The sequence below is a fragment of the Homo sapiens genome, chromosome 20 (genome assembly GCF_000001405.40).
Source record: "Homo sapiens chromosome 20, GRCh38.p14 Primary Assembly".
Lineage (NCBI taxonomy): Eukaryota > Metazoa > Chordata > Mammalia > Primates > Hominidae > Homo > Homo sapiens.
In genome coordinates, this window is record NC_000020.11 from 20,322,882 (window position 1) to 20,345,641 (window position 22,760).

General features: G+C 42.8%; 1 protein-coding gene across 1 annotated transcript in view, besides 1 other annotated feature; it reads left to right on the forward strand.

Moving 5' to 3' along the window:
• Positions 1-22,760, forward strand: part of CFAP61 (cilia and flagella associated protein 61) — a 308,167-nt gene that overhangs the window by 270,350 nt on the left and 15,057 nt on the right. The window contains exon 26 of the mRNA NM_015585.4: positions 18,950-19,040. Coding sequence (NP_056400.3) covers positions 18,950-19,040 — 91 coding nt within the window. The remainder of the gene's footprint in view (positions 1-18,949; positions 19,041-22,760) is intronic.
• Positions 11,666-11,865: a silencer, noted in NCBI's record as "silent region_12710". NCBI's record gives its function as "represses an Ori minimal core promoter by ATAC-STARR-seq in GM12878 lymphoblastoid cells {active_cell/tissue: GM12878}" and the evidence as "EXISTENCE:reporter gene assay evidence [ECO:0000049][PMID:35858748]".

Consider the following 22,760-nt stretch of genomic DNA (forward strand, 5'->3'; position numbering starts at 1 on the left):
ATCTGTTCTTCCTTGTGACTTTCTATACTTAAGTAGCTTATTTATTGAATTAGACTGTGAGTGGTTTCCAGGGTTGAGACTGTTAAAGTTATCATAATAATGACTTTGTTTTCAATAATGTCAGATGGCCCTTCATGATGAGATTATGCAGCTCTGACTTTGTGATCACTGTTCTTAGACAAAGCACTGCTGCCCTGGGGCCTAGCCCCATACCTGTGAGCTACTCTGCCACTCGACTTCAACTTCTTCCCGCCAAGGCTCAGCTAGGCGAGGATTCTAGTTTGAGCCAGTATACCTTTAAAGAGGGCCCCATGGAATAAACGGATCTCATTCAGCATGGGCATGAAAGGCACTGGAGAAGTTATTCAGCCTTCGTCTTCGATTTTTCTAAAAAAGGACAACAAACAACCCTAAATTTTCAGGCCTTCAAAAGAGAGTAAGAAATACAGACAGTCCCCTACTTTCAAACACAATTTGTTCCTAAAAGCAAGTATGGAATTCAAATGCCCAGAAACCAAATAATAGACCCATCTCTTAAAAAAGAGAATTCTCTTCCCAAGAGTTAACATATGATTGCTGAAAATGTTCTTTATTATTTTTAGCACGTGAAAGTCTCAGTTCAGCAGATAGACAGAAGTTGAAGAGTATTGATGGCTAAGATGTAAACAGACAAGTTGTATTAATAACGAATGGAATGCACAGAGCCAGTATCCAAAAGCCAAGGGCTGCACCTAGAGGCACCTAGAAAGAAGCCATGTAAAAACCTAAACTGCAGAGCTAAATTTCTAGAGGTTTTTTTAAATAAAGTCTTGTTTTCTATTTATAAAAGTAGTACATGATCATTGCAGAGCCCAACATGGGGGTTGTGGCGGGGGTATGAAATAAAGAATTGCAAAGAAACCAATTGTTAATTTTTTTGGTGTGTGTCCTTTCATATTTTTCTCTAAATATACAATGTATATATAAACAATATTTCACGTGCTGATTTGCAGCTTGCTATTTTAGCTTCTCAGCATATTCTGAACATGTTCCCATTTCTTGAGATTCTATTTTAATGGCGTTATTTTTTAACGACTGGATAGAGTTCTACCATACCAACGTGCCTTACTTAATTAACTGGGCTGCTCTTAACTTTTTGTTTTCATAATTAACCCTGCAATAAACATTCTTGATGATACATCTTTTTGGCGTATCCTTGATTATTTCCATTAAAATTGTTTTAATATTCTCAATTCTTATGCATTCAATGTATTTTTATTGAACAATAGTGTGCTGCTTACTTGAAACACAGCCATTGAGACGTGCCCTCTTCCTTCACAGAGCTTAAGATTAAGTAGGAAAGATAGAAAATTGTACATGGCTGTTAAAAAAAAATTACCACCACCCAACTGAACTTTTCTCCCTCCGCTCAGTCCCACTCCTCTGGCCAACACTGACCGCAGTCTCAGTTTGTGAATATGTGTTTCTCAAATGGGATTATACTGTACCTATTTCCTTCTAGTTTTTTCACTTAAGAATCTGTATAAATATTGAAGTTCTTTCCATGTCAGTACACATAGTTCTCACTCTTTTTAATGGCTTTTTTATCTTTCATGGAATAGCTAAATCCCAATTTACTTAATGATTTTTCTACTAATGAACATTTAGGTTATTTTCAAGTTTGTCCTGGCATTGTATATAATGTTACCACTGAACATATATCTCTGTGTGCATGAATGGGATTTCTGGATCAGTGGGTATATACATTTACATTTTGATCAAGATATTATTTTAAATTATCTTCAAAAAAGGTTATTCCCACTAACAGGACAGAAGAGAGCTTTTTTCTCCCCATGCTCATGAACACTGGATATATTCTGCAGGAGGAAGAAAGAGTGGGAAGTGTATCTCTCATTGTACTTTCAACTTGCCTCTCTTCAGTGTCCACTGAATCTTTTCATAGGTTTATTAGTCATTTGTATTTATTCTTCTGTGAATTGCGTGTCATTCTTTGCCCATTTTTAATTAGGTTGCCTGTTTCTTTTTCATTTATGAGAATTTATTATATTTAAAGACTAGTAATCCTTATTATGTACATTGCAAATATTTTACAGCCTGTCTTTAAAATTAATAGACATTTTTAGGGCAGTTCTAGGTTTACAGAAGAAAATGATCAGAAAGTACAGAGTTCCTTTAAGGCCAGGAGTTTGAGACCAGCCTGGGCAACAAAGCAAGACCTCCTCTCTGTAAGAAGAAAGTACAGAGCTCCCACATACCCTCCTCCACCCCCAGCCACTTACACAGTTTCTACTATTATTTACATCTTTAGTGTGGTCTATTTGATACAACTGATGAAACAATATTGATACATTATTATTAACTAAAGTTCATAGTTTACATTAGGGTTCATTCTTGATGTTGCACATTCTGTTAGTGTTGACAAATGTATACTGACATGTACCCACCTTACAGTGTGAAACAGAACGCCTTTCCATGCCTGGAAATCCTCTGTGCTGTGCCTACTCGTGCCTTCCTCCTGCCTCCCCCACAAGCTTCTGGCAACCGCTCATTTTATTACTGTCTCCGTAGTTTTACCTTTTCCAGAATATCATATGTTGGAATCATTCAGTATGTATGTAGTCCTTTCGGACTGGCTTTTTTCACTTAGTAATATGCTTTTAAGGTTCCTCCATGTCTTTTTAGCACTGAATAATATTCCATTGTCTGGATATACCACAGTTTGTTTATCTGTTCACCTACTAAAATATATATTGGTGGTTCCAAGTTTTGGCAATTATGAATAAAACTGCTGTAACATGTACAAGTTTTTGTATGGGCATAAGTTTTCAACTCTTTTGGGACTATACCAAGGAACACAATTTTGGATGATGTGGTAAGAGTGTTTAGTTTTTGTAAGAAACCACCGAACTGTCTTCCAAAGTAGCTATACACCATTTTGTATTTCCACCAGCAATGAATGAGAGCTCCTGTTGTTCCACATCCATGTCAGCATTTGGTGTTGTTAATGTTTTAGATTTTAGCCATACCCATTGTTGTTTTTAATTTGAAATTCCCTAGTGACTTACCATATTGACCATTTTGGGATCAATAAATTTAAAATGTATATATATTTTTAACAGGTCTCACTAAGTTGTCCATGCTGGTCTCAAATTCCTGGGCTCAAACCATCCTCCTGTGTGGCTGGGATTACAGGGACATGCTGTCATGCCCAACTCAAATGCTTGCTTGCTATCTCTATGTCTTCTTTGGTGACGTGTCCAGCTCTTTTGCCCATTTTTAAATTTGGATGTCTGTTTTCCTACTGTTGAATTTTAAGAGCTCTTTGTGTATTTGGTTTACTATTCCTTTATTGGATATGTGTTTTGCAAAGATTTTCTCCCAGTTTGTGGCTTGTCTTTTTATTCACTTTTATTATTTGTTTTTGATATCTTTTTTTATAAAGGTTGGAATTTTTACATAATCAAACCGTCTCTAACAAAGAAGAATAACAAAATTCTTCTTTTTGAATTCTGTCTCCTACTTAGGAAATTTTCTCCACCTGGAAATTGTAAAATATGCTCCTATTTTCTTCTATCACTTTCGTAGCTTTGTTTTACATTGACATCTTTAATTCATCTGGAAAACTGTGTGTGTGATTGTGTGTGGTGTAATATAAGAATTTAATTTTACTGTTTCCAAGTGTAGAGATAATTTTCCCAACAACTCTTTCTAAATAATTCATGTTTTTTCCTATGTAATTGAAATACTACCATTATCATACACTGAGCCAAAATCTTTTTCTACAGAGAATTCAGTTTCTGAATTTCCTACCCTGTTTCTTTGCTCCATTTTGTCTGTTTCTGTACTCTTCCATGCTGTTGTAATGATTGAGACATTATAAGTTGGCTTGATATCTTTAATGTGTAGTCTTCTTAGCTATTCTTTCCGAATGTATTATCATGTCCAACTTTATAAAAATTATTTTTGGAATTTTAACTGAGTCTGAATTGAAGTTACAGGTTAATTTGGGGTACATTTATAAAATGGAATATTACCATTCAGGTCTTTTTAAATTTTCTTCCATGAACTCTGATAGGTTTTTTTTCATAGAGCTTGCACATTTATATTTAAGTTTATTTTAGTATTTTTATAGTTTTGTTGCTGCTGTAGATGGAATCTTTTTGTTTCATTACATTTTCTGATTTTAAAAAAGATATTGGTAGTTGGGAAAGATGTGGGTTTTGTATGTTGCTCTTGTGTTGAAGTCTCTTTTTTGTTTAAGCATATTTTATTAGATTATCTTGGAATTTCTTTGACAGATGATTATCAGTTACAATAACAGCACCTTTTTTCTTTCCTCTCCAATACTTCTACTTTCTATTTATTTTTCTTATTTTATTGAATTGCCTGGAATTACATGTACAATATTAAATGGTAGTGGAGATAGTGCCCACCCTTGTCCTCTTCTTGCCTTTTATGGGAAAGAGACAATGAACAAGTAATTTTTTAAAGAGAAACTAAATCAGGAACTTCGAAGGCCAGTGCATATTTCATGAATTAGGAACATTAATGCACCTTCTTATTATCTTTCTTCCCTCAGAAAAATTAAACTGAAATGTCTCTAAAAAATATAAATGTAACTCACATTATGTAATATGTTTCCAAAATGGCTGGCATGAGCTCTCATTTTGATTGTTTAAGAGACTCTCTTTGGGCTAAGGTCACATGTTTGTATCTTTGGACTGCCATTACCTTCAGCTTTAGGTAAGAGAAACATTATTTTAGTTATGTTTATGTTATGACATAATCAAGATCTTCCCCAAGAGGAAGTGGAGCTATCTACCCAATCCTAGAGAAGGTGATTTCCTGGAAGAAAAGAAATGCATTCCAGCCTGGGCAACAGAGCAAGAGCCTGTCAAAAAAAAAAAAAAAAAAAAAAAAAAAACAGAAGAAACAGGAGGCTTTGAGGTCCCTCAAAGTCCCTATCACAGGATTTCTTGCAAATCTTTCTTCCCAGTAGATCATATCCATGAGTAACATGAATTGCTGGGTGATCACTCATAATGATGTCAGCACTCATCTGCCCCGGGTGAGCACCCACAGTCTTGGGCGTCAACACCCCTTGCTTTCAGGCACTGCTCTTCTCTCCAGTCAGAATCCATGCGGAAGCGCCAGCTGTGGTTGTGCAGGCTGGTTTCAGTGCTGCTTCGCTTTGATAAGTAACTAAGTACAGGATGTTTGAGGAATAAAAAGAAGGCCAGCGTGGCTGTAGCACAGTGAGAGAAGGTCAGAAGAGCTGGATCATGTAGATCATGTGGAGGTTTGGACTTGGGATCGTTGTTTCAAAGCATGAAGGGTAGCAACATGCCAATTCATGTTTTAAACATTCCCCATATGCTATATGGGGAATGGAGCTGTTAGGGAGACACAGCCATACCCCAGGTGAGAGATGGTACTTTGGATGGTCATATTTCAGATGTATTTTAGAGGCAGTGTGTGCAAGACTTGCTTCTAAGCTCTGGTGATATATACAACTGCTTACTTGACTCTCAAACTTAACAAGGCCAAACTCCTAGAAGAAAACAAAGAGGAACAGCTCCTTGACATTGGCCTTGGCCTTGACTTTTGTGATATGAAACCAAAAGCACAGGCAACAAAAGCAAAAATAAACAAGTGGGTCTACATCAAACTAAAAAGCTTCTGCACAACAAAGGAAACAATTTCAAAAAAAAAGGCAACCTATGAAATGAGAGAAAGTATTTGCAAACCATACTTCTGATAGGGGGTTAATATCCAAAATATATAATGAAGTCATATAACTCAATAGAAAAAATAAATAACCCAATTAAAAGTGGGCCAAAGACCCAAATAGACAATTTTTCAAAGAAGACATATAGACGGCTGGGAAGTACATGAAAAGGTGTTAGACGTGACTACTTAACGGGGAAATGCAAATCAAAATCGGAATGAGATGTCACCTCGTACCCGATAGGATGGCTGCTCTCTGAAATAACAGGAGCTAACAAGCGTTGTCGGGGTGTGGAGGTTGGGCACCAGCCCAAATCCGGTCTCAAGATCCTCTCAACTCCTTCTTATCAAGAAACCCCTTGGGACCTTACTCTTCCTACTGCAGTCAGCTGAATAAACCTGACTTTGTTTACACGCCAGGTTCCTGGTGGTTTTTGGCTGGTAGGAATCAACCTTTTGCTCCCTCTCCCTGTGTTCCTTGTCATTTCTTCTGCTGACACTTTACTCAAGTGTCCCTCACTGCCCCCCTGATCCCACCACCCCTCAGGACATACTGCGATTTCCCTGGGATTGCCATCAACCGTCTTGTCATCTCTTCCTTGAACCAAACCTGTCTCTTGGGGCCCTTATCCAGCTCCATCTGTGCTAGGGTCAGTCTGGCCAACTGGACATTCCCACTTTGGACTTCTGCAGGCACTTCTGTCTCCACTTTAAAAAAGGAATGGACTCATTCCTTGTCCTTTGCCCCTGTTCACCTCTCTGTCCTGTGCTCCTGCTTCCCTGCACCTCTGAGCCAGGGCCTGGGAATATCTGCAGATCTTTTTCCTTCACTCGCTTCTCCCTCACCTCCTAAATGTGTCTCCAGTCATCTGCTGCCATTGCAGCTGCATTTAGCAGGGCCCCTTTGCTTCCGGCCATACCCTGTCCAGTGTAGCCTCAACATGGCTTCCAGAGCACCTGTTCTGAACCATAAATAGGATGTCCACAGCACTCACTTGTTTAAAGCCTTCCCATGGCTTTCCATCACTTGGGAGATAAAGTCCAAGCCCCATACACAAGCATTTAGAGTCTGCCCCGCCCACTGCCCCCCACCTTGCATCCGACTGGACGTTAGAGCAGTCAAACCACCTGTCATTCCCAGCAGGCCCTGCCTGCTTTGTGCCTCCACGCTTTCCCGGGCCTGGTTTCCCTTGCAAACACCGACTCCTTCTCCAGTGCTTCAGTAGATCCTCCCCGTGCCTCTGTACGCAGCGCCTGTAAGTGATGGCGGAGCTCCCGCCTGCTCTAGTGCAGCCATCATCCCACAGTATTGTACCGTATTGTGGTTCTCTTTACATGTCCGTCATCTCTTGCTGTCAGAGCACCTCTGGATGCTGGGCCCACTGCACATTCATCCTTGCATTTGAAATGATGCTCACAGGAGGCGGTCAACAGACTCACTTTCTTCACCTTTCTATCTAGACCAGTGATGTCCAGTAGAAATATAACAGAAGCCACATACAAAATTGTACCCTTTTTAGTGGTCACATTAAAAACATAAAAAGAAACAGAGAAAATTAATTTAATAATATATTATATTTAACCCAAGATATCCAAAACTATTGTCATTTCCACATTTAGTCAATACAAAAACAGTAATAAGCTATTTTACATTTTTGTTGCATTATCTTCAAAATTCAGTGTGTATTTTATACAGGAGGTACATCTCAATTCAGACTAGCCGTTTTTTGTTTGTTTGTTTGTTTTGTGACAGGGTCTCACTCTGTCACCCAGACTGGAGTGCATGGCGCCATCTCAGCTCACTGCAACCTCTGCCTCCCAGGCTCCAGTGATCCTCCCACCTCAGTCTCCTGAGTAGTTGGGATTACAGGCATGTGACACCCCACCCAGCTAATTTTTGTATTTTTTTGTAGAGACAGGGTTTCACCATGTTGCCCAGGCTGGTCTCGAACTCCTGACCTCAAGTGATCCGCCTGCCTCAGCCACCCAAAGTGCTAGTATTAACAGGTGTGAGCCACCACACCTGGCCCAGACCAGCCACATTTTAAGTGCTCAGAAGCCGCTGGTGGCTCATGGCTCCTGGACCAGACCATGGGGGCTTCAGCAGGTGCAGCGGTGGGCCTCTGTTTTCCTACCTGTAGAACAAGAAGGTTGCCAAAATCTGTAATCTCTTATCCCTCCCAGCTCTAAAAAAATGGGGCTCTGATACCTTGTGAGGAATTCAAGAGAATGTCCTCTCTCAGAGTGAAGTGTCCTTCACCAGCTGGTGAGCTGGATCCCAGCAGTTTTGTTAACTGTGATCACTTGGTTAGAATGGAGGCTGCAGGTTTCTTCCCCTGGAAAGCTGCTACTTTGAGATTATTTATACAGGTATTTTTACCTTCATAACTAATTAGTGATACTTTGAGACTATATAAATACCTTATGTCTCATAATTTCTTCTACAAATTTTAGACTCCATGGACAATTCTTGGCTGAAATAACTATTACTGCACTGTTTACCAAATGGTGATTTTTCTACTTCCATAATTCTTACATATTTATTACTTAGCATCCTACTGTAAGGAAGAATTGTCCCTTCTCCTCCGTTTATTTACTCATTCATTCATCTTTATCATTGTGGACTTAAGGATTCCTGCACTCTTCTGTGGGTTGTAATCCATTACCCTCTTATTGTGTTTTGGTGAGATATGAACTAGGAATATGTTAGTTAAATTTTCATGCTTGATTTTTGGAAACCACAACCCTGAAATCCTAAGAGTGACAAAAAAAAGTGAAGAAACAGTTTGTGGTTTATTATTCTCTCTGTAAAAGCTTTAGAAAAAAAAAAAAAGGAACACATTAATTAGAAAAGCCTATTTGCTGAAAGAGAATTATTTTTAACATGTATTCATTATTTATTTTTAAAATTATTTTAAACACATTTCAAACATGGTGTGTGTGTTCTGTCCTGGTCAATGATATTTCTACTGAGCACTTGTTCAGAATTTAAAGAGCCATTACTTTAACCAAAGGAATAATAAGGGAGTGAAATATCTTGCTCTATGGAGTTTGCTAGTTCTTGCAGCCTCAGCCTCACAAAAGGTCATTCTCTCTTGCTCCTTTGTCCCCCTGACTCGTGGGGGTTTATATGTGCACATATACACTTTTTTTTTTCTTTTCCTACAGAAAATAGATAGGAAATGGGCATGATTGTGAGTGAGGCTGAGTGGCCGCCTGGCCTAATGCTGGCCTGGGCTCTCTGCAGCCTAATTAAAGGAAAATGGTTGTGCTCTCTATGAAGAGAGAAGCAGAATGAGAGCAGACAGGCACAGGAAGGGAAGCTGAAGCACTAAGAGCTTCCCCTTTTCTGCAGAATTAAATGCTAACCTTGCCTCATACTATTAGTGCTGAACTTATATAACAAATCAATGTAAATAGCTGGCCAACTTCCAGGGCACTAGATTTATTGTGCAAATTCAATTAGTGCAGCCCCTAAGAAACCAGCAATGTGCAAACAAATACTGTAGATGGACTAAAAGGGAAGAGGCAGAGCACTAAGACTCAGTCCTGTACCCTGACGGCAGACATTGCTGTAAGGCACTGCCAAACCCAGCTTCCCACCATGGCAAAGTGTGTGAATGACCCGCGGCTGTGCTTTCAGGATAAACTTAAATAGAAACAAAATTCTTAAGTGTCTAAACATTATGCTATTTCTACAAGAAAACTGGTTCGCTCTGGCAAGTAAGACCAAAAGTCAGACAGGTCAGAAGAAAATTCAGCCTGCTTGGGCTTTAGAATGCCTGGGCCTTAATTCCGGGGCCACTTTTCCCAACTGCCATCTCAATATGTTCAGTGAACAACTGGTTTAACTATTTTGATTTACTTGGCTCACCCAGTGTAGTAAGCAGGCAAAACAGCAAAGAAATAACTCCATTTGGACAGTTTGCATTTAATTTTCATCAATTCAGACACAAAAAAAGTAAGGCCTCAGTTTAACAATTTCCATGCAATTTTTATTTGTTTCCACAGAATTCTTTTTTAAATTAAAAAAGGTCTCACTTTGTTGCCCAGGCTTGAGTTCTGTGGCATGATCATAGCTCACTACAGCCTCAAACTCGGGCTCAAGTGATCCTCCTGCCTCTGCCTCCCAAATAGCTAGGACTACAGGCACGCACCACCACGTCCAGCTAATTTTTATTTTTTAATTTTTGTAGAGACAAGCGTCTCCCTATGTTGCCCAGACTGGTCTCAAGCTCCTGTCCTCAATCCTCCCACTTCAGCTTCCCACAGCACTGAGATTACAGGCATGAGCCAATGTACCTGGCCCATTTCCACATAATTCTTTAGTGAAAGACAAAACTTCAAGAAAGCTAGTTACGATGTCCTCTTACCTTTATTGCTCTATAAAATGGCAGGCAAATTAATTTATGCAGTACTTTCAAATGGAGGAAAAGCATTCCCTGAGGAGAAAAACTGCAGTTATGCCAAAGAAAGACTTTCTTTGAATTAAGCAGCAAACAAAAAAGTATTTTAATATTTTAGTTTCTAATTCACACCAGAAAGGATGTGAAGCAGCCTACACAAACATATGCAATAGGATAATTAAGAACAATAGCAGTAATAATCATTGATACGGAGCCTCTCCCCTGTGCCAGGCATAATGCCACATCTTTTACCTGGAGTGTCTCCTTGAATTCGGATAGTAACTCTTGGAACAAAGGACCATCATTATCCCCGTTTTACAGCTAAGAAGACTGAGACTAAGAGAGACTAACGCTAACTAGCTCCAGATTACATAAGCTGACAAGTGGCAGAGCTGGGGTAAAAAGAAAAAGGACATTAGTAAATGGGAAACTGAGGCCAGGTCAGCAACACGAATCTGAGCTGAGATGGAGAGACCACCAACGCAAGCATCGGTCTTTGTTTAGTCAACTTGCATCCTGAGAATGGATCACCAACTCAGCCCATATGTGTGGCTTCCCACTCCTTAGAGATCAGAGCAAGGAGAGAAATGTTAGCACTGGCTAGATTCGTAATTCATGAATTAACATATTCCATCTTCTAAGCTGTTCCCGGGCTGAGTGTCTGGGATTCAGAAAAACAAATGGACAGCAGACAGATCCTTCAGGTAATTCTTCAACATTCTGAAAACTAAGACTCTGGTTGCAAGGGTGGCAGGGAATTTCTGGTCCCGTCCAGAGCAAATGTGACCTGATGAAGGCACAGAAGGTCAGATTCCATGTTCTTATAGACATCAAAGGACCTAAAGGAAAACTTGTGCTTGCAAGAGAGCTCAGCCTCCCTCCCTCGTCAGGGGAGGTCGTGGGGCCTGTGGGCTGGTCAGGATTTCCCTCCGAGACAGCTCTGGGTGTTCAGCTCACAGACAACACACATCATGCTGGTCCCAGTGGCCTCCAGCAGAGGCAAACCATGCACTTGGAGCAGAGAAAGCCTTGCAAAGCAGTGCCTCCCAGCACCAGTGCTGCCAGGCAAGGGAGCCCAGGGTGTGGGAGGCACCTAGTTTTAAGCAATGTTAACTTCTTCTTTTTTTTTTGAGACAAAGTCTCGCTCTGTCGCCCAGGCTAGAGAGCAGTGGCACAATCTCAGCTCACTGCAACCTCTGCCTCCCGGATTCAAGCAATTCTCCTGCCTCAGCCTCCCAAGTAGCTGGTACTACAGGCATGCACCACCACACCCTGCTAATTTTTGTATTTTTTGTAGAGACGGGGTTTCGCCATCTTGGCCAGGCTGGTCTCGAACTCCTGACCTCAAGTGATCCGCCTGCCTCGGCCTCCCAAAGTGCTGGCATTACAGGCATAAGCCGCTGTGTGTGGCCATAGTGTTAGCCTCTGAATTCCCAGGTAAACCAGGATCATTGGCAAAACAGTGCTCTGTAGCATTAAGAGAGAGGAATTTTACAAGCCATTCAGAAAATAGCTGATTTCTGCTGAAAATTAGAATTTCAGTCTTAGTGCCAATGAATTGTAAGCCGTTTTTCTGCAGAGCAGGAAACATCTGAGGCCAGCTCTGCATTGTGACAATGAGACCACAGCCAAATTATATTTCGAGGCTGCTGCTCTTTCGGTTATGTAAATCATAGCATGTGACAATTACAACTGGTCATCAAAGAACTAGTTGGTTTTGCTTTCAAAATCATTAATCTTACCTTTCTAGATCTGCCTCAAAGCAATCAAAAAATTGACTAGATACGGATTCTTGCAAACTCAGGCTGAACTCAAGGAAATATTCAGTCCGATTTCCATCTCAGTCTTTGGGATTTTTTGTTGCAGGGCATCAGGGCTGTGTCTGCTCGTGTCATGGGGTCTCATTTCCAAGCAAACCCAGGAATAACTAGAAATACTTACTTGTTCCTATTCTTATTTTTGAAAATTGTACTGAAATGCATGAATTTACATTCTTTCATGAGTAGAATAAAATGATCATAACCCTACCTGACAGTGTGAATGCAAATTGTGCCTGTTCTCTGCAGTTAAGCCAGGTCGGGCCAGATGGGAACATGTAGGACTCTGAGGATACAGGGAGTTTCCCACTGGCTTGGAGGTAGAAGTCACACATGGAAAATATTCTGTGGGTTTTTTTCCCCAGAGTGTTCGGTTTTGGAGTAGTTGGAGTCTAGAGTGATAAACATGTTCTAGCTCTGGAAACCTCAACCAAAAACATCTCCCAATTTTCATAAATTTAAGAAAAGATTTTTGTTAAAAGTAGATGCTGTAGAGTCTTCGGGGTATCACAGCTGATAAAACATCCATTCTCTCTTTCCCCTTCAGGAACAGAATTCTGATTTATAAGGAAGTACATCATATCTAAAATAAATGACAGTGGTTCCCAGCCTCCCATGCAACCAAGAAAGCCATATGGCCAACTATTGGCCAATAAGATATAAATGGAAGTGCTTTGTGAAACTTCCAGGAACTCTCCTTAGAAGAAAGGAGATGAGTCCTCTTTTTCCCATACTTCATCCCAGAACATATATGTGATGGCTGGAGCTCAGCAGCCATTTTGAATCATGAGGCCAAGGCCCCTATGAATGTACTCTGCTCTGATGTCCATGGAACCACCCTGGCAGCCCTAGACTCCCCATCTAGACCTTCTCTACCTGAAAAAAGTACACTTCTGCCTTTTGAAAGCCACAGTTACTTTGAAACTTTCTGTAATTTCAATCATATCTAATCCTAGCTAATGTAGGGGATACTTGGGAAACTGGGGTGATTAAGAGAGTTGCTAGAAAGACTCGGGAAAAAGCATAAGGAAATAAGATTTGGTTGCACAGTTGTTCAGAGCATGGGTTACACAGAACTATGGGTAGGACCTAGTTCAGCCACTTATTAACTCTGTGACCTTGGGCAACTCATTTAAGCTCTCTGAATCTATGTCTTCATCTGTAAAATGGGCCAGCATGTCCCACTTTCTAGGATTAGAATTAGGATGAAATGAGATAATGCACAGAAATGGTGTGCAACAGAGTCTGTGGGTTTGTGTCCCCAGATGAATCTAAGTGTGCCTCCAGCATGAAGCTATAATAGAACAGGATGCCTCCCAGAGTGTAGCAAGCACCCACCAGGTGGTATGCAGGATAGCTCAGGCAGCACAGCCACATCTTACTAATGATGGATTTGTTCCAACAGGAATTAGAATAAAACATAACGAGCACATCAAACCTGTGATTTCATAGGTATCATTACTTAGGACAAGACAAAAGTAATTATTTCAGTTTTTTTAAAGACAAATCAATGTAAAGAAAATTTTGGGCCAGGCCTGGTGCCTGTAATTCTAGCTACTTGGGAGGATTACTTGAGGCTAGGAGTTTGAGACCAACCTGGGCAACATGGCAAGACCCCGTTTCTGAAAGATTCCAAATAGAAAATTAGGCAGGTGTGATGGTGTGCACCTATAGTCCCAGCTATTTGAGAGGCTGAGGCAGGAGGATCACTTAAGCCCAGGAGTTTGAGGCTGCAGCGAGCTATGACTGTGCCACTGTATTCCAGCCTGGGTGACAAAGCAACAACCTGTCTCTAAAAAAAAAAAAAAATTTTAAGAAAATTTGGAAGTATTCAGTAATGTAGTCACACAGAAAACGATTGATTCCCAAGTGACTGAAGTTTGGCAAACACTAGCCCAAGAGAGGTAGCCTAGGGATGAAGCTGCAGAGAGGACAAAGAAGTGAGGTCAAGAGGGCCACAGTGCCAGGCCTTGTGGAACACACTCCAGCCCCCACCTCCCCAGCGTGCACCCCTCTGCAGCCCTGCCATGCCAGGCCATCATAAGTGGCTCTGACATTCTCCACCCCCACCCACCATGTGTGCATTTCTGGGGGCAGGGGCTTTCTCTCACCATGGTACCCTCAGTGCCCTTCACATGTTTGACACAGGCGTGAGGGCCATATTCGATTCATGGCAAAGAATTGAACCCTAGGTCTTCTCCTTCCTTGCAACCGTTAATGTCAGAAGCTCTGAAGACACCTGGGACAGAGAAGAGAGGGAGAAAAGTTTACGTGGAAGCATAGGGAAGGAAGGGATGTTTGTTGAGGGGTGGTGTGATGCAGCAGAGGAAGAGGACCAGAGGAAAGCAGCCACTGGAAATAAGGAAACAGGGTTTAGGAAGGCCTCACTAGACCTGTTAGGATGGATGCATGGATGGATGGATGGATGGACAGAATGGGTGGGTGGATGGATGGATGGATAGATGGATGGATGGATGGATGGATGGATGGATGGATGGATGGATGGATAGATGGGTGGGTGGGTGGATGGATGGATGGATGGATGGATGGATGGATGGATGGATGGATAGATGGGTGGGTGGATGGATGGATGGATAGATGGATAGATGGGTGGGTGGATGGATGGATGGATAGATGGGTGGGTGGATGGATGGATGGATAGATGGGTGGATGGATAAATGGATGGATGGATGGATGGATAGATGGGTGGGTGGATGGATGGATGGATGGATGGATGGATGGATGGATAGATGTGGGTGGATGGATGGATGGATAGATGGGTGGGTGGGTGGATGGATGGATGGATGGATAGATGGGTGGGTGGGTGGATGGATGGATGGATGGATAGAATAAAAAAGAAAGCTAGGACATGGTTCTAGTGTTCTTAGCAGACGTCCCACCATGGAAGAGGTCATGGAGCACAGGGGCTTTGGGAAAGGTGTTTACAATCCTGCCTGCCTCTCACCCAGACCTCTTGCCAGGGTTGGCACACCCAGATGCCTGCTGTGACCAATGGAGAGGAGCAATTCTGGCCAGACTGGTGGGAAAGCAAGGACGAACCACGGAGGCCATCCCTGGCAACTGAGCTGACAGCTGCCACACGAAAATGAGGACACAGCATTGCCTAATCTGACTCATCAAAGAAAGGCCTGAAACCCAAATTCCAAATGTCATTCAGGCCAAAGTAGATGCGTCCATATATCATACCTGGCCTTGGGTATCTGTTTGCTACCATGATATTTATCACTGCCTGCCTTCTGTGTATTGAATGGAGACAGGACACAGGCTGCTTCATAGAGAGGAAAGCCCCACCAGCTATGCTCCATCCTCTGGCATCACAAGATTGACACTCATGGCTGAGCTTGACGTTCGGGCAGGCATCTTAGAAGGAGAACAGTCTGCCCTCCACCGTGCCAGAAAAGACACATACAAGCAAGAGCATCATTCTCTAAGGAAACCCGCAGGCCTCCCTGGCGGCAGCTGCCTGCCTGGAGAAAAGTGGCTCCTCCTGACTTTCCAGCAGCCCTCTCTGTAGGCGTGAGTGTCAGCTGGGGAGCCTGTGAACAGCTCTAAAAGTAGACACTTTTTTTTCATGCCAAGAGAAAACTAGAATGCTTTTTGTTAAAAAAAATCTTGGAAAAAGTGATATGTTTCTTCCCTGCCACCCGCCTCCTCCTTGCCACCTGGTGCATAGTTGAGCGCGGACCGCCACGCTGTGCCAATGCTGGAAAGGGCAGACCTGCAGTCGCAGCACTCCTTTCCTGCTGGCCAGGAAGGCCTTGGCCTTGGACTTGAGATCCCGGCCTTTAAAGGACACCTTTACCACTTCTCTTTCCCCGTAGATGTGTTGGACTTTTTCCTACAATTTCTCCCAGTGTGTTATGTTGATCAGCTTTCCTCAGCCTTCAGCGTGTCTAATGGCCAAGCCGGCCTTCACATCCCCACTCAGTTCATGAGTCTGTCGATGTAACTGCCTGGATGAGCAGGCAAGGATGACCTCTGGAGACGTCTAGTCAATTGCTTAATGATCGGACTATATCGACCAGAAATGGTTAATTCAGTTCCGCAAGTCAAAATCTCCCAGGGCTTCTTGGAAAAGTGTATTACTTGCAGAAGTGATGGGGAATTTAAGTCCTCCCAGATAAACCAGGCTGGCCATTGGCAGCATGAACAGAGACAGTAATGTCTTCTATTTCAGTCTTGAAGAGGTATAACTTTTTTCTCCCAGCTGTGCAAAAATGATTTTTGTGGCATTGATGCCCACGTGCACACAGCCCCTTAAAAAGCACGTTGGAGCCATGTGCATACCTGGCCCTCTCTCCTGAAGATTTCTAGACGGCAGGCTGTGTGGGTTACTTCATGGCTCCTAGTAGTCTTCCCCTTTTGAATATAAATTGGGGGAAAAAGTTAATATTTTTTATTTTTAAAATTCACAATATTCATGGAAATACAAATTTCCCAAAAGCTCATCACGAATGCTGATAGCACCATAGTACCTGGCGGCCAAAAATGCAGAAACCTGGCCCTAAGCTTCACCAGGATCCAAGATGCCCCTCTCCTTCCTATGGATACAGAAGGAGCCTAAAGCATAGAAATCGTTCAACCTGGGGGAGGTCTAAAACTTTTATTTTTATTTTTTTAGAGACAGGGTTTCACTCTGTCACCTAGGCTGGAGTGCAGTAGGCTGGAGTGCAGTGGCGTGATCACAGCTCACTGCAGCCTCGAACTCCTGGGCTCAAGCGATCCTCCCACCTCAGCCTCCCTAGTAGCTGGGACCACAGGCATATGTCACCACCACACCTGGCTAATTTTTTTTTATTTTTTATTCTTTGTAGAGATGGGGGTCTCACTGTGTTATCCAGGCTGGTCTTGAACTCCTGGTCTCAAGTGATCCTCCTACCTTGGCCTCCCAAAGTGCTGGGATTGTAGGCATGACACATCATACCTGGTTCCTAAAACTTTTCTTAAAGCAGAATTTCTTCCTAACATTCTTGTATCAAAAGGAAACCATCTTCATTTGACTCAACATTACGATCAATTGTAAAATAGGTTTGGTTAAATTCAGAGCTTTTCCAGTTTGAATGACGAAAGCTGCCATGCTGCTGCTGTAGGATGATTTTAGGAAGCCCACAAGATCCGAGACACCCTCACTCCTCCTGGCCACCTTCACCTGGGAGCCTGTAGCTGGTGCTGAAGTTCTCCTTGGATAGGGGAAAGCAGCCGGGTCTGAGCCCTGCCCTCACCATGCAGGTCTCTGCCAGGAGCTTGGGCCCCGAGGCCCAGCCCTGGGCCAGCCATCATGGGCACCTGGAGTGCACAGCCTCAAGTCGCAAATCCATTCCCTTTAGAGTTGCTGGCAAGTGTGATGTGTATTGTTGTGTGGTTGGGAGAACACCACTCTATTTCTGAAATAAAACCTGGACACTAGGATTTTTTTCAATGTTTTACAAAAATTGCTACACAGCCCCCATTTTCTCTAATACAATTCAAGTTCCTCCAAAGTTAATTTGCCAGGGGTTCAGAGGGAGGCAAGGAGAGAGGGTGAGTAGGCAGATCACAGAGGGCTTTTTAGGGCAGTGACGCTCTTCTGCATGATAAGGCTGTGGGAACCTGGGTGTTTAGATGGAGGGCCAGAGCTCGTGACAGACCACAGTGGGTTCCCAAGGAAAGTGGGACTTCACAGAACTCCCTCTCTGAAGCAGACGATGAAGGGTCCCCGACGGGCAACACAGAGAGCAGAGTTTAAAGGCGCCGGGCAGGGAGCATGGCCCGAGAGCACCTGGGCTGTTGGAACAGGCAGCACTGGAAATGAGGAAAGCAGCGAGCAGGCGGTTCCGCCACCAGACGGAGGTGGCCGTAGACCCCCAAAACCAAGGGGGTGGGAGCTCCGATGGTGCCATGGAAACAAACATGGGGGATTTCAGCCGCTGAGGAAAGACAGTGTGTTAACAGCTGGATGAACATACCACCTAAACAGCAACGCGGGCAAGTCAGCAGGAACTGATGCCATGTTCTGATCCAGCGAGTGGGCGTGGGGTGAGGCCTGATACTGCTGAGTGCCAGGCTGTCCCTAACACAGACTCTCGGCGTCGTATCTGTCCTCTAGTGCCCCCGTGGCCCCTGGGACACTTTACCTCCATCCCTAAGAACTAACTTTTACGTCTTGGAAAACGGAAGGTGCCCATTCACGTGGGGGCACCAGGTTTTTCCTTCCCCTGTGCGCACACACAACATCCATAAACAGTAATAAGGGCAGCTAGCTCACATCCAGAGGAGAGCAAAGCCCACCCGAGCGACGTGGCTTTGACCCTGAAGCAGTTAAGTTCCCTGTTCCAAGACACTTAAAGTAAGAGTTAAAATACCAATAAGAGTTCTTGGTTATTCCAAAAATGCATCAAATTTTCCAGTTAAATAAAGGATAATCTTATTGTTCTCCATATAAGGAAGCATTTCAACTTTCAGTGAAAAGTTAGCAAATATGAACACCAAAAAATGCAGCTCTCCTACAAGAGATTCAATTAAGCGTCGATGCAACCGTGCGAACAGCATGTTGCAGCACAAAGGCAGCCTGTTTTTCTGGCCATTATTAATCTAGAAAGCTTAATGATGAACAACATTTGTGTTATTGTCTACCCAAATTTAATTTATTTATGCAGCAGTTAATCTTGCAATCTGTTTTTCTCAAACGAGGGCAGATAATGGAGACACCGTTCTTTACAAGTCTTCAGGCTTTTAAATTCTGATAAAATCAGGATTCTTCACTGGGTCTTGCCCCAGCTCTGAATTAAACCACTTTAAATGTAATTATGGGACCTGGCCTTACAGCAGGAACATCCATTTAAAAAATTGATTGGTCAGGCTGTTCCACAAGACATTTTATGAGCAAACGATTGCAATGAGGCCAGAACTGTAATTTATAAAGGCAAAAAAGCAGGTAAATACTTTATTAGTGGTAATGAGAGGGTTGCCAGCTCACTGAGTCTCTTCTTTCCTTACCAGCTACTTCACCGAGCCGTGGTGCCTGGCCCTGTTCCACGATCGTTTTATTGATCTCAGGAAAGAGTTACGCCAAATCTTAGCCTCCAAGGAGGTAAGAGTGATTAATGGATATGTGGATTATTCCTTGCAAATTATAAGCAGCTGATAGCTGTTGATCATTTAGACTTTTCCCTACATTCCCATTTTATGGTTTTACTTTTTAAAACAACAGTATCTCATATAAACAAACTGCGGAGCATGTAAATGCAGACTGTGTTATTTCAGGGGAAGTGATTTTATTTAAATCTTTTTATAGGGGGCAAATTTCTTTTTCCTTTTTTTAAAGAACTGTATTTTTCTGATCAGCTCAGAGTGCTGGCAGAAAACTGAATCTGAGTTGCATCTACTTGCCCTCAAGAACGAACGTTGCATTCCTTTAGTTTCTGCCTGTGTTTGCCAGCCATTTGCGGAACATATGTGTGTGTGTGTTCTTTTAAAGATGTACAGGGAAGCCATCCAGTGTGCCTCAAAAGCACACTCCTTTTATAACCAGAACTTCTTTCTCAAAATACTACAGAATTAACTGGACATTAGGCTGCGTAGCCCAAGGGCTGCACGCTCAGCAAGAAATTTGACCCCAAGGTATAAATAGTGAGGTATTTGTGAAACTTTAAGTTAAAATATTTCTTTCAATATGAGAATCTCTAGCAGAACTGTGGAACGTTAAGAGCTGTGTTCAGTGAGTGGTTGAATCTCCAGCCTGGCTCTACCCTGCTTCACTCAGCCAAGTGCCGGGGCCTGGGTTAGCTTCTACCTCGTGTTACCGTCTACATAGGCAACTCCCACATCTCCATTGTCACTTCCTCCTGGGAGCCCCCACGCGCCTTATTGGACGGCACTGCTAGGGAGCGCGCACCCTGTTCCCAGTGCGTGCCCCACTTAATCACAGCTCTTGCTGTGATTTAAGGAGAGTGGAGAAGCCACTGTTATCATCTTGACTTTCCCAGTGAAGAAACTGAAGTTTAGAGGGGTTTTTGGAGTTTTTTGTTTCTGTTTTTGTTTTTTTTTTGAGATGGAGTCCCCCTCTGTTGTGCAGGCTGGAGTGCAATGGCGTGATCTCAGCTCACTCCAACCTCTGCCTCTCAGGTTCAAGCGATTCTCCTGCCTCAGCCTCCCGAGTAGCTGGGATTACAGGCACCCGCCACCACACCCAGCTAATTTTTGTATTTTTGGAGAGACAGGGCACCATATTGGCCAGGCTGGTCTTGAACTCCTGACCTCAGGTGATCCGCCCGCCTCGGCCTCCCAAAATGCTGGGATTACAGGCGTGAGCCATCGCGCCCGACCAGCTTAGAGATTTTAAATCAGCTCCATGGTAACACAGCAAGCTTCACACTCCGGGGTGTCTCACCCCAAAGCTGGGAACATGGTTACTGAACCATACAGGGCCGAAGTGCGTGTCCTGGGACCTTCTCCTCAGTGCCCCCACTTTTCAGTTTCACTCCCAGGGTCCAGCTGGGAACTGTAAATCATTTCCTAATCTGAAGCAGGCTTAGATTGGGAAACAGAGGTTTAAAGTTAAAACCAAACAGCAGTGGCTTAGGATCCAGCAAGTAAATGCAGCTGAGGGAAGTGGAGGGCTGGGTGGCTGAATGCCCAAGTCAGAGGCTGCTGAAGGCGTGCATGTGGCAATGGAATCCACTAAAGATGCTGCAGGCCAAACAGAGCCCTACACTTAACCCAGGGCTGCAGGAGGCCAACCTAACTGGAAACCTGAACCCGAGTTGTAAGGCTGGGGCTCACTGAATGCTCAGCTCCTCAGACACCTTCCTTCCTTGCAGAATGTCATCCGCAGCTTCCTACTGCCCCTACAGTAAAGGGCCCTTCGTTTCCAAGTGATCCCATCAAAACTCTGTGCCTCCGTCTTTCTTAACCCCAGATCTGAGCTCTTCAGTTAACATTGTGCACAAAGCCAGGGGGTTTTAGTCTTAAAGCTTAAAAGGGAAGCCATGGAAACTGTCAAGCCCAAGGCATCCACCACGTTTCATACAACTCACTGAGATACCCTCAAACTTCTACCTGTGTACGGATATTTGCTGTGGACCCATTTATGAACTCAGTGTGGACAGCAGGCCCAGGCAGCAGACCAGAAGTGGCCACGGACCTTTGCCCAAGACACACTAAAGGCCCTCCAGCCATTCTTGTGGGTCTTGTAGATTTCCAGAAAATGAAACCTCCGGAAGAAAAAAATCTCCACTGGAGGATTTTTCTATTTGCAGCATTTCGTTTGTCAAATGGGAAAGGCCACAGGAAGTGGTGATGCATAGAGTGGTGTCTGCCTAGCTCAGCTGGACTATGCAATGTGGCCTCTGCCAGACCCTCCCATTCCTGCAGAACCGTGGCCAGCCGTCCCACCTCAGAGAGCTGTGGGGGAGTAGCAGAGGGGAAGTGTGCGATGGCACAGAAGAGTGGCCCAGTGAGTGCTGACCACCACGAGCAGCAGTGGAGGTGACAGTGGAGAAGGGCTGCTGTGGAAACGACAGCCACACAATCAGATATACAGGAATTTCACCAAAGAGTCTGGTATTAGGAAAATAAAATAAAATGAATAGCCTGCACTAAAGAATAATCATAATTTATTTTCTCAAATATTGAAATGAGGTACAAATGGCCAACAGGTATATGAAAAATGCTTAACATCACTAATCGTCAGAGAAATAAAACTCAAAACTGCAGTGAAACATCATCTCACCCCAGTGACAATGGCTTTTATCCAAAAGACAGGCAGTAACAAATGCTGGCGAGGATGTGGAGAAAGGGGAACCCTCACATACTGTTGGTGGGAGTGAAAATTAGTATAGCCACTGTAGAGAACAGTCTGGAGTTTCCTCAGCAAGCTAAAAATAAAGCTGCCATATGACCCACCAGTCCCACTGCTGGGTATATATCCAAAAGAAAGGAAATCAGTATATCGAAGGGATACCTACACACTCATGTTTATTGCAGCACTACTCACAATAGCCGAGATAGGGGATTAACCTAAGCATCCAACAAGTGAATGGATAAAAAAAAAATGTGGTCTATATACACAATGGAATAGTACCTAGCCATAAAAATAAGGAAATCCTGTCATTTGCAACAACATGGATGGAACTAGAGGACATTATGTTAAGTAAAATATCCCAGACACAGAAAGACAAATATTGTATATTCTCACACATGTGTGGGAGCTTAAAAAAAATAAAATTTAACTCTTGGAGATAGTAGAATGATGGATACCAGAGGCTGTGAAGGGTGGCAAGAAGTGGGTGGATAAAGTGGGGATGATTAATGGGTACAAAAATACAGTTAGATAGGATGAATAAGATCTAGTATTTGGTAGCACAATAGGGTGACTATAGTTAACACTAATTTATTTTATATTCTAAGATAACTAAAAGAGTGGAATTGGAATATTTCTAACACAAAAAAATGATAAATGCTTGAGGTGATGGATACTCCATTTACCCTGATTTGATCATTACACATTGTATGCCTGTATCAAAATATCACATGTACTCCATAAATATACACAACTATTATGTACTCATAATAATTAAAATTAATTTTTTTAAAATATTCAAATGATGTAAACCATTTTATTTCACCTTCTACCTTGTCTTCAGGGAAGTATACAAGTTCAATCCCATTAACTATCATATCCTAGAGCTTGGTATATCAATTTTCTTCTTCCACATGTAAAGAAAGGAAGAAAAGACCATTATCTATCTATTATCTATGAATATTGTTAGAAGTCATCTGTTATGAAGATTAGAATCATTATAACATGGGC